Raw genomic sequence first — 17,834 nt, forward strand, 5'->3', positions numbered from 1 at the left:
ACAATGGAGAAATATGATAGGATATGCAGGTTGGCAAGCAATCTAGGAGAGTGCTTGCATGAGTGGGAGTGAGATATTCCTACAAGAGCTGGATAATACATAATGGAAGAATGAATCATGGCAGTGTGTACGATGGAAAACTGGAGAAAGCCTTAGGAGATGTTTTAGAGGTAAAATTGTTAGACATGGTAACTGACTGGATGGAACAGTATGGAACAGAAAAAGTAGGGAAATAACTATTTTGATATTGGAATTAAGTTAAAAATATTTAAATACAGCAAGTGCTCAGGTACTCAGAAGTCCAACTTACAGGTATAGATGTTGGCATTAACTGTACAGAAAAGGTGATAACACCAGTCAGAGTGGGAGAGGGGGAAGACATCCCAAGGAGCATCTTGCAGATTGCTTCTGGTTCATGGTTCCTATAGATTTTAGCTATTGTCTTTTACTATCCTACCTCAGCTTACCTTTGCAGTCATTTAAGTAACTCAGGCTCTCCAATCTCTTGACGTTTGCAATTGCTGTTTCACCTCTGGAACACACTCTCTATTCTTCATGCCATTGGTTTCTTCCCACCCATCAGGACTTACCTGCCCACACTAGAAGGAATAAGTACCTTCCTCAACTCCATCTCAGGCCTTGTTGTTACTGCCAGAGCACTTATCATAGTTTGCACTTAATTTATTTGCTTGATTTTTGTATCATCCACTAAGGGGCCCACCCAGTAAGGCAGGAGCCATGTTTGTCTTGTTCATAGTTGAATCCCTATCAGCTAGGAAGTTCTTGGCATAAAGAAGTTACTTAATATTTTTGAATGAGTGAACAAAGTGCGGATTCTGATTCCTTGAGGGATTCTAGTGTGATCCAAACCTGTCTCTCTGTCTCCACCTTACTTCCAACCACGTTCCTTTTGTCCTAGCTAATTCAAGCTTTTGTGGTTTTCCAAACATTCCAGACTTCTCAAACTTCTGTGCTCTCTCTTGTTTTCACTGCTTGAGGTGTCCTTCTCTTGTTACCTATTTAGGAAATTCCTTTATGAGCTCATATTCAGAAAGATTAAATAATCTGTCCAAGATGATACAGATAATGAGTGGCAGCTGTCATATTCAATCCAGTTCTGTTTATTTCAAAGCCCAAATTTTAATCACTGTGCAATACTGATAATCACGTTAAAAATATTATATTTTATGAAAAATCAATGTATCCCAAATTAAAGAGATATGTTTTAATCAAGTTGTTGAATACATGAGAAAACTTCTAAATAAAAGAGCCAAAGTTTAAAAAAAAAACAAACTTGGCTTAATTGTCACCTTGTTAAGACAGTATACCTTTGATGTCCCTGCTCTCAAGATTGCTTTCCTAGCATTTACCATATGTTACCTACTATTTCCCCTGTACATTGTAAGCACCTTGAAGTTAGGGAGTGCCGTGGTCTGAATGTCTATGTTTCCTCAAAATTCATATGTTGAAATTTCCATATCCAAGGCGATGGTATTAAGAGGTACAGCTTTTGAGAGGTGATTAAATCAGGAAGGTGGAACCCTCCTTAATGACATTAGTGCCCTCATAAATAGGCCCAAGGGAGCCTGTTCATCCCTCTACCATGTGAGGACACAGCCATAAGGTGCAATCTCTGTACCATAAAACAGTCCCTCGCCAGACCTCGAATCTACTGGCACCTTGATCTTGGAATTCCCAGCCTCTGGAACTGTGAGAAATGTTTTTTTTTGTTGTTGTTGTTTGTTTTTTGCTGTTTATAAGCTACATAATTTATGGTAATTTGTTATAGCAGCCCTAACAGATTAAGACAAGGAGCATTCATCATTCGAGTTCATACCCTCAGCCCTTAGTCCAGTGCTTGGTTCACTGTATAATAGCTGCTTCATAAATATTTGTTGAATAAATAAATGGTTGGTTGAACAAAAGGATGAAGGCATGTAGCATATTAGACATAACCAAGGGCACCTACAAACATATCTAAACAGTTATATGACCTGGAACAAGTTAGTTAGACTCTTTAAGCACCTATGTCTTCATTTTTAAATGGAAAAAAATATAGCACTTACCTGTGATCTTTATAACATTCCAATGTAATAACACATGTTGTATTAGTCATGATTGTCCAGAGAAACATAACTGATACACTTTATTTAGTTAAAAAAATTCATTTGTTATTTTAAGGAATGAACACACATAATTGTGGAAGCTTGATGAGTCCCAACTTTGACAGGGGAAGCCTGCAAGCTGGCCTCTCAGAAAAGAGCTATAGTTCAAGTCCAAAGGCAGTCTGATATACAACCAGAAAGAGCCAATGATGTAGATGAAGGCTGAAGGTAGTCTGCTGGAGAATTCCTTCCTGCTCGAGGGAGGTCAGCCTTTGTTCTAGCCAGGCCTTCCACTGGTTGGATGAGGCCCACCCACATTATGAAGGGCAATTTGCTTTCCTCAGAGTCCACTAATTTTAATGTAAATCTAACCCCAAAACACACACCTTCACAGAAACATGGAGAGTAATGCTTGACTAAGTGTCTGGGTACTGCAGCCCAGCTAAGCTGACACATAAAATTAACTATCATATATGTAGAACATTTAGTACAGCTTCTCAGACATTCGTTAGGAAGTGCTCACTAACCACACTCTCTGGTCCGGTCTTATGTCCCCAATCATGTCTGGAGGTAAGGTGCCATGAGAATGTGTGTGTTAGGGTCAATGGCTCCTGGTGTGTTGCTGGATGGGAATAATGTGGTTTTCATTCTTCCTTATTCTGAGTCTCTCTGTAAATAACATATGTAAAATTGAGTTATGTTTTCTACACACAACATGGATAAGAAAGACTTCTTGGTATGAAATAGAAAGTGAATACAACAGAAAGAAATGTGTGTAAGGAAGAAACTAGTATAAAATCATGGATTGCCATGGCCTAACCCTGGTCACTTGTAGTTCTCCACAGTAGTTACAGAAACAGTTAAAGTATTTTGCCCTCTCTTTCTCAGAAAAAAATGCAAAGGTCATGATTATTTCTTTAATCTCGATCAAGGAAATTTCTGCCTGGCATTTGGCATTCAGTATCTTGAAGAGGACTCAGGTGTGTACATACATGGGATATCTTTTATAATATTCCCAGAAGGCTACTAAACTCCCAGAACTCCCAGAGTGAAAAACTCTCATCAGATTCAGGTAGGGGGTAAGACATTATGATGGCATCCACGTAGCCCTGGTAAATCTCTTTTCTAGATTACTGGAACTGTTTTCTAAGTGTTACCAACTCCAAAAGTTAAAATCCCTCACCACGACAAGAGTGCAAAGAGAGTCAATTTATATGAGTCAATAATATCACATAACTATCTAAGCAGTAATATTAAGTGAGGTGTGTACTTCCTACAGTGAGACTGGCACTTTCAGACAGGCAGGCAGGCTGCCACTTTCCATTTGTCCCTGCCCATGGGCCATTGCAAGAATCCTGGCCTGTTCCCAGTAAAAGATGCCTTTTGGCAGAATAGAATCTAATTCAGTAGGTAAAGATGGGTAAGAAGGACAGGAAGTGAAACATTTGAGTGACTGCACTATTATCACCCTTATTTTACTTAAACTAACATGAGTTTTATATCTGGATGGAATGCTCTATAGGACTAACCAAAAACTGCTCTATCTCAAAATCTAAATTGTTTATATGAAATTATATTTGCAAATGAGGCAGCAAAAGACCATATTTAAAATGCTTTATGATATTTTATTTGATATTATTCAGTAATACAGGTTTTGTGGCAAATATGCATTTCTAAAAGTGCATAATGAAACATTTTATTTTTCTAGCTCTTGAATTTGTCATAGAAATAAGCCATAGATTGTTACTTTCTGATTTACTACTTATAGATTCATATTGAAGATGCCATGAAGAGGAGATAAATGAGTTTATATGACACTATTTACTGATTATGAAAATAGAGAAATACAAAAATATTATCTAATAATAACAAAAAATATATTTCTTTTAAACATAAACACTAAAACAGAGAGTAGTCAAACTGATTTGGCACACTTAATATATATTATCAACATTATATTTTTCATTCTTGAATAATGAAGCATTGCATACTTTGAGCTTTGTTCAAACATTAGTTGCTATAATCATGAAGGTGACTATTAAAACCAGTCAGAGCCCGTATGTGCACAGCAAAAGAGTGGTAACCAGGATCTATCCTATCATCTCATTTTGTTAGGAACATAGTTTAAAGAGAAATGCCATTAAAAGAGGATGAGTTTGTACACCCATCTCACGCATGAGTAGTGAATGGTATTTAGTTAGTAAATATTCTCCCTATCCTCTATCCAACACCAAAAATAAGCAATTTCAGCGAAGGGGATTTTACTTAATAAAGTTCTACAAACTCAATTTTAGGCTTTCTTATCCTGCCATAGCAAATAATTTTTTGACTTTCTTCATTTGTACTTTATGGAGCTAACTACATTTTCTTAGAAACAGCATTAAAATTAAAGGTAATTTTTAATGATAAAATGTTTCCTTGGATACATTTTCTTGTATGTTAAAGAGTACTTTGTTTCAAAATGCTTAATTTCACTTACAATTAGAAATCAAATATGGAGCACAGCATAGGGCAATTTGGAAACTGTCACACTAATTGCCACAAAAAAGTTAATTTTTCACATAAGACAACTGGCAGTGAACATCCAATTAACTGCCACACAGTTATTTAACTACTATCCTCAGAAAAGAATTATTCTATTTTATGACCACTAATTGAATGGTCATTGACATGAGACATTTTTTACACTTACAAATGTATTTTGAAATTACATATTTTTATTTAGAAAATGTATATTTGTTTTAATTTGGAAAGAGCTGAACACAAGGATCATGATTTTAAAAGATCAGCATATGTAGGTGACATGAAAGTTCACAGCAACTGTTTCACAAATCACCTTAACACACCGGATTCACAGATAAGGGTACGCCTCTCTTTGGTTCATAAGGTGTTGTCCTGGAAACCATTTTGATGCAGTCGACAATAGGGCAAACACTGAGACACAGAGTACAGCCTGTACAAGTGTCGGTTATGGTGGGCAGGTGGGTTTCTGGATCAAACTGTATAGCCTGCAAACAGAAATAGAGGGTATTGATGTCACTGACCACAAAGGTCAACAATGTCCCCATTTTAGCGTTAACATTTTTCTCTGCTGCAGAGGAGCCACACTATGAGACAACTACGTCCAGCTCTATGGTGCAACTATAGCAACAGTTGAGCTGACAGAGGAGGAAAAAAAGAGCGAGAAAAGAAATCCTTTTAAATTAAAAACACAATGTTTAAAATTCCTTAGGGGTATTTTTCTTCATTGTGTGAGGAAAATATGTCATAACATAGTCACTCTCTAGTTTTCTTTGTTCTGAGCAGAGTTCGGGTCTTTCCAGTTCTACCAGGATGGGGCGTCTTCTACCTGTGGATTTTGGGGGACTTTCACACGTCCTCCTTTTCCTCTTCACACTCTTTGTTCTTGACAGTGGAAAAGTGTTACTGTCAGATTCTGAGGCAATGAATACATTTGTTTGGATTTCAAATAATGCATGTAGTTTTTAGAAGAAAGCAGAAGAAAAAAATTAGCTTAACAGTCAGCTTTGAGTTTTGAAGATTTCCAAGCTGACTCTAGTCATTGTCCACCACGAAGGGGAAAAACACTGAATGGAGAGCCAGGAAAACTGATGTCCAGTCCTGGCCCTGACACTATTGAGCCCAGATTACCACAGCCAGGCCTCCAGCTCTGAAACGGCTTAGGATTTTGAGAAATTTTACAATTTTCCTTCCCCCGTCTTCCTCTATTCCCTCCCTCCCTTCCTCCCTCCCTTCCTCTCTTTTTCTTTCCATGAAGCAATGTAGAATAAGCAATTAAGAATACCTAGTATGAAATTCAGGACCGAGTTTTTTTTAAAAAAAGATATGATGATTATTTTCCCATTAAAGAGAAACATTTCAATGATGAAAAATGACATGTAAGACCTCAGCGGAAGTTACAGGATTTCTATCTAGGAGGGATTTCAGGGCAGCTACGTAGGGGTGGATCATGGTGTCAGAGGGGATTTAGGAAACTTGCCTGGCAGTCTCACTTGCAAAAAAAATACAAGAGTTTTACTCAGACTGTGTACTACTTTGAAGTGACTAAGTCGGGGCTGAGGAAATTACAAGGGACAATAAGTGTCTCTCCACCCCCATGGTACCCCTTGAGGCCAGGTCTACAAATCTTACATTTTCAAGGAATTGCATTATTTTGATTTTTTTCCTGTCTCATACCAATGTTATAATTCAATTATATATGTGTGTATATATATATATAGTTGTTTAAAAAATTCCCCCCTCCAAATGAAGCTGCATGCAACTATATTTTTTCTCTTTTATGCACATATAAATGAAAATAATATTTTCAGAGTAAATCATGATAGTTGCTTAATATTTTTAAAAAGTCTGATCTGTAAGGAAATAAACATATATTTGAACAAGAACTATAGCTATAGCAAGTCATGAGAATATCTGTCCACACAAATTGGTGCTATGTTTTGTAAAACAACATTTTAAGGTGCTGTTTGGATGAGTAAAAACGATTTATCTTCCTTAGGTACCCTTTTATATAAATGGAAACTCAATGAAGTAACTGATAAAAATTAAGACTAATGCTTAGAAATATACTTTGAAAATCTGCAAAGATATAAAACTTTATGTTCAATTAAAAATTTTGGCTTTCTATTTTTATCTTCTGAGACAGAAGAATCAAAGAACTTTCTAAGTCTTTTAAAATGCATACTTGTGATTTTCTTTCTCATTACTAAGAAGATTTTTCTAAAGTTGTTCCAAGTCTAGAATTCCACGGTGGGAGCCATAAGTTCTAAGATTTAAGATATTAGAGAGCTGATGCTCTGATAGTTATAGGACTTCCTGATTGATCTCTGATTGGTTAATTTGAAAGACGACATGAAAGTAAATGTGATATGGCTAGCACTTTATAAAAATAACGGTTAAGACAGCTTTTAGCTAGAAAAAAGGTGATGAATTGAGTAAAAATTTGGTGTAGAACTGTGGAACTAGGAAGAAAAATTAATAGTTTTTTTTTAAATTAAAATATGTCTGTCATAAGAATATGCAAAATCCCACCATGAGCAGTATGGAATCTGCCCCTAGGTTGAATAAGGTACACAAACTTCTCTTTTTAAACATGGGGACATTTTATTATGAATTTAGAACATTCCATTGATCATTTCTTAAAAAGATCTTTTTTTACTTATAGCTTGAAAAATATAATAAAAACAATATTGTATAGTTTTTAGCAATTTTTAATAGTTTAGTAGTTTTCCAAAACTTTAAAATTTGCTTTCTCCAAACTCTACTTCTTAAGAAATTCTTTAACTTTCACAATAAATCAGGCTTTTGAGAAGAAACTTATGTTTAAAAGTATTGTTATGATCATTTTTTCATTCATTTCTAAAATTCAACCAGTTAAAAGTCATAGTTGTGCCAAACTCTTTAAAAAATAGCAGGTTATAAATATATAGGAAGTAAATGAAGAAGCAAATTATAAGCCAAAGAGAAATTCACAGAATGTGTTTTCAAGAGAATAGCCCACTAGAAGGAGTCAAATCCCCAATTTTTCTTTCTTTTTCTTTTTCTTTTCTTTTCTTTTCTTTTTTTTTTTTTTTTTCCTGCATGGTAGATGCTCTGCTGAGGACTGAGGAGCTGGAAAGTAGCTATGGCTCACTTCATGAGGGAAGAATACATCTCTTAGGCTTTTCCAGCTTCAGAGGAATTCCTGGGACCAACCTATACAACTCGTTGGTGGGAAAGTGCTTCTTTCTGACTGTAGTAAAAGCCTAATCAATACTGAATGGAAGAGAACTCTCTTTTGGCAGAAGGAATCATAGCCTTTCAGAGTAATGGCCATAAATGGTAGTTCTGTTCCCTTTCCTCTGTATTAAAGCATAATGCTTTCCTAGTATTCCTAATTTTGTGTGCATTTCTCTTTTCAGTTGGATTTTTCTCTCTAATGTTGTGGCTGATGAAATGGTATAAAAATAATTCTGTGCATTAAATGCTGGCATAGTTAGTAAAAGTTACAAGTTTCCTTTTAAAAAAAGACCATATTATAAGGGTGACAGGACAGAAAGATGTACTGTTGCAGAAGAGCAATATTTGGCACCACTGGTTTAAATTTCACACATAGCAACAGAAAATGCTTTCTGCCGTAAAAACAAGAAGAAACATGTCTCATAGCATTCTAATTCCAGCAGGATTCTTACCTGGTAGCCAGAATCATTACAGGTCATGTAGCATTTACCACAGTTGATACACATTTCTTCATCAATCATAGCCACAACTTGCTCTACGTTGCTCAATTCACCAAATGTTCCAAGGTACTGCAGTGCTTTTCCTATTACATCCTAAAAATAGCCACTGAATTACTTAGCAAGCTCATTTTAAAACATTTTCATGTAATAATTAATATCACTCAGCATTTTCCTGTTTTTATACAATGTTGCATTATATTAACTTGGGAGACTGGATAGTATAATTCTCATAGATAAGCTTTTTATGATAATTATAGCTTAGATGTTTGTCTTCTGAAAGATGGGCAATATGCATGCCTGGCTTAGAAATACGAGACCTAATTAACTGCATTCAATAGGTTTTTGACTGGATAATTTAAAACAGCATTTCTGTGGACAGAAAGAATAAATGACACCCGTGTGAGTTGTTATGGCTAACTTTTTCTCATTTTTGGACCTTGAAGGACCAAAAGTAATACAAAGTGACAAAGGGTAATACACTATGCTAGAAAAGTTTAGATTGCTCATAATGAAGGGAATACGAGTGTGAATGTTATGCATTTATTTCACTGCATGAGGATTTTAGATTTTAATTTAAAAAGTGCTGTGATAGAATACTCACCTGTCATGTCTTGAAGAGTATGCAACATTATTTAAAAATTCTAATTTATGTTAATCGCTTAGGTTGATCCAATAATTAAGTCAGATGCTCTTTTACTTTAAAGAACTAGAATTTTCTTCATTCACCATTGAAGATCTTTCATGTGATTACACATTGCTTTGTTCTTCATACTAATTGGGAGTGTGCCTAATATGTGAAGCACAGACTATGTTTCATCAACAATAAGAAACATTTTGCTTCATAAAACAAAACAAAAGAATGTAGCAATGTCAAATTAGCATGCTGTCAAGATTTTTGCTTTTGTTTTTAACTATTAACATGAGAATCTTGTTTGAATTCAAGGTCCATGTTCAAGGAGGTTTGACTCTTAGTTAAAATCATCTTTCCATATTCTCTTTGGTATTGCATTTTCTGCTATTTTTATAATCTTGCTTACTCTTCTTTACTTTTTTTTCTATTTGATCTCTAAATTATAATATACTCATTATCATGGAATTTCAAACTGAGACAAAGTTTACATTTTTATACAGTTCCTTTGTGTATCTTTCAAGTGATAAGATGCTAGAAAACTTCCAATATTGTCTTCCCTATTTTCTTTATAATGCATTGAAGTTATAATTTCAACTACACTGCAGTCTGTTTGTAGGTGGGCACTTGACATCCAAATCAATATTTCCATTTTGAAATGCTCCCATAAACTCAAGATCTACATTTATCAGCTGCATAATGAGCACTGTCATTAGAGATTGGTACTTCAGATTCTCTACTCACTGAACTTATCATCAACAACACGAACTGGGTCTTCCTTTGTATTTCTTTAGTTTTGTGAATAGCATTACGATTTTTCCAATCACGGAGTCTTGGAATTTCATAGTTATATGTCACTACATAACTTGCTCCAATATCTCCTATCTGTTGCCAAGTCTGGGTTCCAGATGTGCAATATCTTTTGAATCCTTTCCATGTTTACTGCCATCTTTAAACATTATTAATGAATTTCTCATTAATTTTAATGCAATTGTAAGAGACTACTTGATAAGTTTCATCCTCACATTCTTCCTTTCCCACTCTACCCTGGGCAATGCTGCCACCTTAATCTAGGATGTAAGACACAGACTAAATTTCTCACTACCTTATTCAAAAATCTGTTGAATTAGGCACAGGCTTACCACGCTGGCATTTAAGGCTTTCTGCAAACATGTCTTTTTCTATCTTATTTCTCAGTTTCAAACACCATGCACTTCAGCTACACTGGAGGACACACTTTTCAACTGACCCATCTGAGATCTAACATTAGGTTAAATCCTCTGTCTAAGATACCTTTCATTCCTAACTCCACTTTGCAAAATCCCAAGCATCCTTCAAAGACATCTCGAATGCCACTACTTCATGAAGATTTCCTTAATCCTTCCTTCTTCTTTCCTAACCAAATGTGAGGACGTGATCTCTCTTTCTTCCTCTTTCTCACCTTTTCCCCTTTTCCTCCCTTCCTTGCCCTCTCTCCTCCATATCCTCTTTCTTAAAAATTTTTTTTGATGGCCAATATCTATTATATGGAACTAATGACAACAGATACCTTTTGAGTTCTTAATATATTTCAGGCCAGTGCCATATGTTTTACACATTTTCTCACTTAAACCTCATGCATTTAATAGTTGATGATGTGACTGAGATTTAAAGTACCCAATTAAGTAAATGATGAAGCAGGGATTGAGAACCAGTGTTGCCTGACTTTAAATACCACGATCATCAGCACTCTGCTATGCTGACTCATTTGTTATTCTGTATTTAGCAAATTCTAATTCATGTTATGGATATTTTCTACATTTAGCTTCCCATGTTGTGGTCTCTTAGTAAGCTTTAATTCATCTGTGTATCTCATGTGGTGTATCCTGTTTCTGGAGATCATTGAAACACAATGGGTACGCAAATATTTGTTAACATAAATATAAATTTTATATATCTATACACTAAACCTATAATATGGTAGTAGGCACATAGTGGGATGAAGTAATAGCTATTTTACTGAACATTTTTATTGATATGAGTATTTTAAATACAAAATAATCATAGTCAAAGTATCTGAATATGTGTAATATTTCCCAGTACTATTTTAAAATAATAAATTCAAGAGGTCACTATCTGGCTGTAAAAGCCCATTTATATGTGATAGAAAATAATTTTTTAAATCTAGTAAATAAATCAACCCAAAGAGTTGTTTCACTGAATCAGATAATGGTGACTAAAATCATCAATAAATATTCAAATGATGATTATACAGGAAACTCTCTAGGCAGTCAACAAGTGTATAAGCCTTCTTCAAAAGAAACGTTGTATATGCCTTAGAAATTTTACGTGGAGCAAGTCCACATTCTGTGTACATTAAATATGCCTTTTCCTCTAAATTGGAGATTTGCTTTTGTCATTTATTAAAACATCATTGTTTAATGTGAAGCCAATGTGGAGCCTCTAGAAGTTATTAGCACATGGTGTTAACAATTCATCCCTTATTAAGTACAATTTTTTAAGAAAATTATATTTTTTTCTTTATCTGGAAGAGGATAAAAGAATGACAACTATTTTAAATCATTTTGGGAAAGAGTAGCAAAAAAAATTATTCCATGTGGCTAAGAATGTGGACATTTGTTTTAATCCCAAAGCCTCCAGGTAGTACTACCAGCTTATGAATACCCTTGAGTAGATGTCCTGGAATCTGGAGTTGGCTGAAAGATGCATAAAATCAGTAAGTCACATATGGCTAGTCTCCAGCCCCTCTTGTACACACATCTGTGGAGATCAGGGAACCCATATTCATTATTCCAATTCATTATTACACCCATTTGGATGTATGAAGGTTCAGCAGTATGGTGTAGCCATCCCTGATTAGTGGAAATGGTTATATGTAGATATGTATGTGGAGAAAGCAATGTTAAATCTTTTAAATTATAGATGATAACACTTAATTTTAATGTAGGTGTTCAAGGAATGGATGTTGCAAAGTACTACAGAATTCCAAGATCCCATTATTATCAATTTATTACTTGTTTGAGATAATTAAAAGTTGTCGTTGTTTTGTTTTGTTTTGTTTTGTTTGAGACAGAGTCTCGCTCTGTTGCCCAGGCTGGAGTGCAGTGGCGTGATCTCGGCTCACTGCAAGCTCTGCCTCCTGGGTTCAAGCGATTCTCCTCCCTCAGCCTCCCAAGTAGCTGGGGCTACAGGCGCCCGCCACCACGCCCGGCTAATTTTTGTATTTTTAGTAGAGCCGGGTTTCACCATATTGGCCCGGCTGGTCTCAAACTCTTGACCTTGTGTCCACCCGCCTTGGCCTCCCAAAGTGCTGGGATTACAGGCGTGAGCCACGGCGCCTGGCCAAGTTTTTTTTTTTTTTTTTAATAGACCAGTCAATGTTTCTGTTTGATATAAAGTTTAAGGCCAAAGAGTGAGGAACTAGACAGCCCTGATTCCGTCCCTGATGTTTCATTCTGAATTTATTACGACTAATATTAATTTATTAGTTTTGGTCTATTTTTAATAGCTGATGGAAGTATTTTCAAACTGTGATTATCTAGCATGTTAGCTGTTCTTTCTAGCTTCAAGTCTTCATATTTGATTAGCATGTATCATATCAGTTTCTACTGCATGCCTATGGCTCTCGCCCTATCTTAAAGTAAAACAAAAGTCATAAGATGAACCATTGTAAGTCACACTGTCGTAAAGTAGAAAGAAAAATCATAAGATGAACCATTGTTAAGTTCTTAATATGAACCATTGTAAAATAAAAAAAAAATCATAAGATAAACCATTGTAGGTCAGGACTGTCTGCACTTTGTACAACTTCTGCAAATAAGTATCCTTCAAAAACCAGGACCCAGAACAGCATGCTGTGGGCAGTCACTATGACTTCTAACCCAAAAACATTCAATATTTAAATTATTTGGATGTAGCTATTTAATCATTTAACTATTTCCTTATCTGTACCATTACCAATGTCATATCTTTTTATGGTATATTCACTTCTTGCCTAATGCATCTTTCAAAACAGAAAATGAGATAATTCAGTTTGCTCTTACTGAATTTATGCTGATTTTTAACTTCTTCCTTTACTAATGCTCCCAAGTCAAAAGCTGAATGACGTTTGTAGGATTCCTTTGGGGTTAGATCTCAATCTTTCTGATTTGTTTCCATCTTTTCCCTACTTCCCCTACAACATCCACCTTTTTCTTTGGGAAAGAACCTGGAGCAACATTTATTTTTCATCAGTGTGGTATAGTGATCTCTTACAAAAGCACTTAAAAATATAGCAGGTGCCTTATTCTGGATATTCTATATATGCCCTCTGAGCAGAAGGCAGACAGGAGTACTGTACAGTAAGAAAAGGACATCTTAAGTTTAAATTTGGCAGAACTCTAATAACTAAGGACTCGGCTTGAATATGCTGAGAGCAGAGGGCAGAGACAAAGTATGATCCAGAAAATGAAGTATTAGATTGGCCGGCGAGGGTGAGAGAAGCAAGTAAATCAAGAGATGGAATAGCGGCAAGTGAGACTTTTGGAACCAAAGTAGTGAGAGCGGCTTGGGTGAGAGGGAGATTATTAGTGAGAGAGTCAGATGAGTAAGGATTGGCCAGGAGCAAAGTTGGTTCAGTACCTGTCTGTGGCCCTGATCACTGTATTTTTTCTATCTGGGATGAGCTCAGGCTTTAAAGTGGTAATGTCTTGCAAGACACTTTGGATTTAAATTCATTTAATGAAGGTAAGTGTATTTCTACAATATCCTTAGGTATCTTAGGTTTTAACTCTCAAATATATTTTCTCTACTCTTTTTAGTTCTGATAAAATTCTTTATGGGATTCTAGAAAGATAATAGGAGTCAAACAGTTCTCTCTAATTATAATTTAACAGTGTACCACCTGCTCTAAGTAGTGAGTATTAATAGACAAAATATGTTGCTATTTTTCCTAATATTTTCTCCAAACTCAGATCATTTGAGGCTTTAGCACTTCTGACCTGTCCTTAAATCTTGATGCCACCCTTTTATTTCATCATTGGTAATGTGATCTGTCTTTTCTCATATAAGCACCAAACACTGAGTTATCTAAATGCATAACCTTTTTCTTACTTCTTAGGAAACTTAGTGATTATATAATCAAATTTGTACTTGTCAGCTTCTCATTTTTCTTGATCCATCTTCAGGTTAGAGTTGCTGACTATAAGATAATATCTATTGTTTTCTCTGAACTTCCTGAAATTAGGTTTACTAAAGGTGGGATACTTGCATTTCTAAGCTCAGACTTCCTTTCATTGGCCTAATAAACTCTAAGTTAACGTGGAATGGTTACTTTCCTTCAAGATTCCTTTAGCTGCCATTTTCTTCAAACAGACTTTTTTAGCCAGAAATAAGCCAAAGCAGCAAGTCCCCTCATTACTTGTCTCTCTTTTGTGAGACTGAATTTCCAACAAGGCAATTCAATAATTTTTCCGATGTTTTGCCTTTAGTGGAGTGGGATTTCCATCTGAAGTTTGCAAAGGCTTTCATCACTCCTCTGTCTTGCCTGTCCCTATTAACCATCTGGTTACAAGGTCTCTGAGGCAGTCCCAGGGTAACATTTTGTTTTTCTTTCATTTCACTCTCCTGCAGCTGCTTCCTCCATACTCCACCCTGAGGTTTGTGGATTTCCATGCATGTGTATAATTTTTTTGATAGATACTGCTTCTCCCCTAGCCCTTCCATCAGACCCATTTATTCCAGACAAGATACACCTTTCCATGCCATAATCTGGTCAGGAATCACATTTCTACAAATCCCCATAAGACTTAAGGGATTATTTTACCAAATTCTCTTCAGTTTTTAAAGTTCAGTTTGATAATTTTCATCTGCTATGTGTTGGTACAGGGACAAGTGAGAATATTAACCTTGTTCCCAGCCCATTTCTCTGGTATCTTTTGGAAATTGCTGGGCAAGGCCTCCACTATTTTTCTTTCTGTTCCCTCCTGTTTATGCTCCATAGTATCCAATATGGTCTTGCAGTTTTATCTGAGTACTCTTCTCTTTCCTTTCACAATTCAATTGAAATAATAAAGCACTCGATCAGGCTGACTGGTGTCCCGCCAACACTGTCTTGCCAGTCTTATGAGATGCAGTCCATCTCTTACTAGAAGCAGCAGGAAGAAGAGATGAAAACATCACTAGTGCCCCTAAACCATTCATTTTCCTACGCAGAAATTCAAAGACGTTAGAGATACATTCCCGGCTTCATAAAGAGAATGAGAATTCATTCTCATATATATCAACAGAAGTGGAAAGCATTCGGGGGACTTTATAAGTCTTGGCAGACTCTCAAGTCTCTGTTATATGCTGCCTGGGAATAAAGCACGTTTCTCATTTAACTGGGCCAAATGTGCACACTGTCACTTCAGTTCTCTCAGCGAGGAAACGAAACTGCCTCCTGTAGGAGGCATTGTCTGGTTTCTTTTCTCTAGCACAGGTGAACCTGTAGAATATGTCAGGAGCTTCTTCAGAAGGTCCTTGTTCATCTTTTAGAAGGAAATCTTTATACTCATTGCAGGAGGCCAGGTTTCTTTTTCTTCTTTTATCTCATTCTTTCCCATCAGCCTTCCAGTACTTCTTTTGATACCCTCTTCTTCCTCAGAATCTTTTTCTTTCTGTTTCCCTTATGGAATTGGTAGCTTCATAATATGGGCCATACGCATGGTAAATGCTATGCTATTATGCATTGGAAATGAAGATGTGGTGTTGATAAAAGGGAAATCATGCAGATGCCAGGCTGTCCCCAGGGCCCCAGATCATTCCCAGGGGTAGGACGGAGGGCCTCTGAGGCCATTTTGTTTGTTTTTTTTTTTTTTTTTTTTTTACTTTCAAGGGGCTAGGAGAATCAGGATGTATGTTGTCTAGCAAAGATTTCTGGTTCTCAAGGACTCTCTAGTCCCTGGATAACACTGGGCATAACCATGCTTGATGTTCAAATGAAATTCATAGCAGTTTAATCAGTTGATCCCATTGCTTTTTTATATTCTGTTATTAATACTGATTTATAAAACCCAGTTATTTTCCTCATTATTGCTTCTCAGTTCTGTGCTTTCTATGAATTCCAATTTAACAAAAGAATGAGTTTACCATTTTGATGTCACTATCTGCTTGATCCAGGGATTATGTATTGGATTTAAGGTCCCATGGCTGCAGGTTATTACAAGTATGTTTGAATACTGTGCTTTGCAAACATACTGATTTGCTTGAAATGCCACCTTCCTTTTCTTTCTTATTTCTATGTTTCATGAGAGACAGCAGAGGACAGTGCTTAAGGGCCCAAGGTTTAGAGCTACCCTTTGGAATCAAATCTTGGCTTTGATATCTTCCTAGCTGTGTGACCTTAGGAAAGTTATTTAACCTTTCTGTTTATCAATTGCTTACTCCATAATAGCACAGAGGGTTATTGTGAGGATTAAATGAGCTAATTCGCAAGCACGTAGTGATGCTTGAAACCTCATAAGTACTCAATAAATATTAGCTTTTATTATTAATTCTCTGCTTAATTAACACTAATTTATTAAACTCCATTTTAAATATCACCATCTCTGTGAAGCTTTCCACAATTACCCAAGGCAGAACTAATCCCTTTCACTCCTCTGTTTTCCCAGAGCATTTTGTACATATTTGATTGAACTGTAAATAATTTTTAACATGTGTCTTTCTCCCTTGCTAGACTATGAGCTCCATAAGGATAGACGTCTTTCTTTTTAAAATTCACGTTGTATTCCTAGTTTCTAGCACAATTTCTGGATTGCAGCAAGTGCATAATAAATATATGTTAGCACTACATCTCCATCGAGATTACAAACATCCTGAGCCTTGGACCATGCCGTGTCTGTTTTTTTGAATCTCCTGCAGTCCTTAGCACACTGCTGGTCACACAGCAAATACTAAATACATACTTGCTGATTGACTGATATTGAAACTGCCTACCTCTGAAGAAATAGACCATTAAGTCATTAAGGCATTTGAAAGGAAAAAAGAACAAAAGATGAGATCTACTGAGCATAGCTTGCTTAGAAATATTATTGTTGCATTCCCAACCAGGGAAGATGGGGTAGATCAGAAACTTGAATGCATGACTGAAAAACTTGTTCAGACAAGAGGGGCTTAGTTAACTTTGTGGGACACTGGGGTTCTTTCTACAGCAGATGGGGAATAATGTGCTGTGGAAGCTGAGAGGATAAACAAAGCAGTGTCATGGAGTTTAAACTATCGAACAGAGGAATCTATAAAGAGGCCAGCAGAGAGGAGGGAAGAAACAAGCTAAAATAAACAGATGGGTGGACAGAGAAAATATTAAGCATGAAAACAGATAACCCAGGTCCTCCAGGAAAAAGGGAAGTAGGAAAAATGGTATGTCAAGAAAGAAGAAACACTCTAGGGAAAACACTGAAGTAATCATGTAGCAGCAATTACATGGCGTGCCTGGGTGTGTGCTAAAAAACAGCAATAACAACCACAATAAAAGGACAAGAAGCAATGTCTGATTCATGTGCAGACAGAAAATGACTTTAAAGGGAATGTGGCCGTTAATATCAACGTGGACTGAAAAATCACACAGCCACATCATCTAGATGTGGTCTGAAATAATGGGCAAAATGGCAGGGACTTGTATAAAAATGACAATAACTGTGGCTCCTAGAATTTGAATAGAGCTGTGCTGTGTATAATACTTTCACACATATCTTTTCATTTAAAACAATGGAGTTGAGGCCTTCTGACATTATCCAGTATATATTTTCCCTCCTGCCAATCCCTTGCCTGGACTGTTACAATAGCTTCTAACTGGTCTCCTTGTTTCTGCCCTTGCCCCTCTAGCAAACTGTATCAACACTGCAG

At 36.2% G+C, this 17,834-nt stretch overlaps 1 protein-coding gene across 5 annotated transcripts in view; it reads right to left on the reverse strand.

Annotated features, from left to right (window-relative positions):
• DPYD (dihydropyrimidine dehydrogenase) overlaps positions 3,710 to 17,834 on the reverse strand; it is an 843,317-nt gene continuing 829,192 nt past the window's right edge. For all 5 annotated transcript variants that reach the window (XM_047448077.1, XM_017000507.2, XM_005270562.3 and 2 more), the window contains 2 exons: positions 8,297 to 8,437; positions 3,710 to 5,113 (listed from right to left, as the gene is read on the reverse strand). In XM_047448077.1, coding sequence (XP_047304033.1) covers positions 4,943 to 5,113; positions 8,297 to 8,437 — 312 coding nt within the window. In that variant the 3' untranslated portion in view covers positions 3,710 to 4,942. The remainder of the gene's footprint in view (positions 5,114 to 8,296; positions 8,438 to 17,834) is intronic.

The sequence above is a fragment of the Homo sapiens genome, chromosome 1, assembly GCF_000001405.40.
Source record: "Homo sapiens chromosome 1, GRCh38.p14 Primary Assembly".
In the NCBI taxonomy this organism is placed as follows: domain Eukaryota; kingdom Metazoa; phylum Chordata; class Mammalia; order Primates; family Hominidae; genus Homo; species Homo sapiens.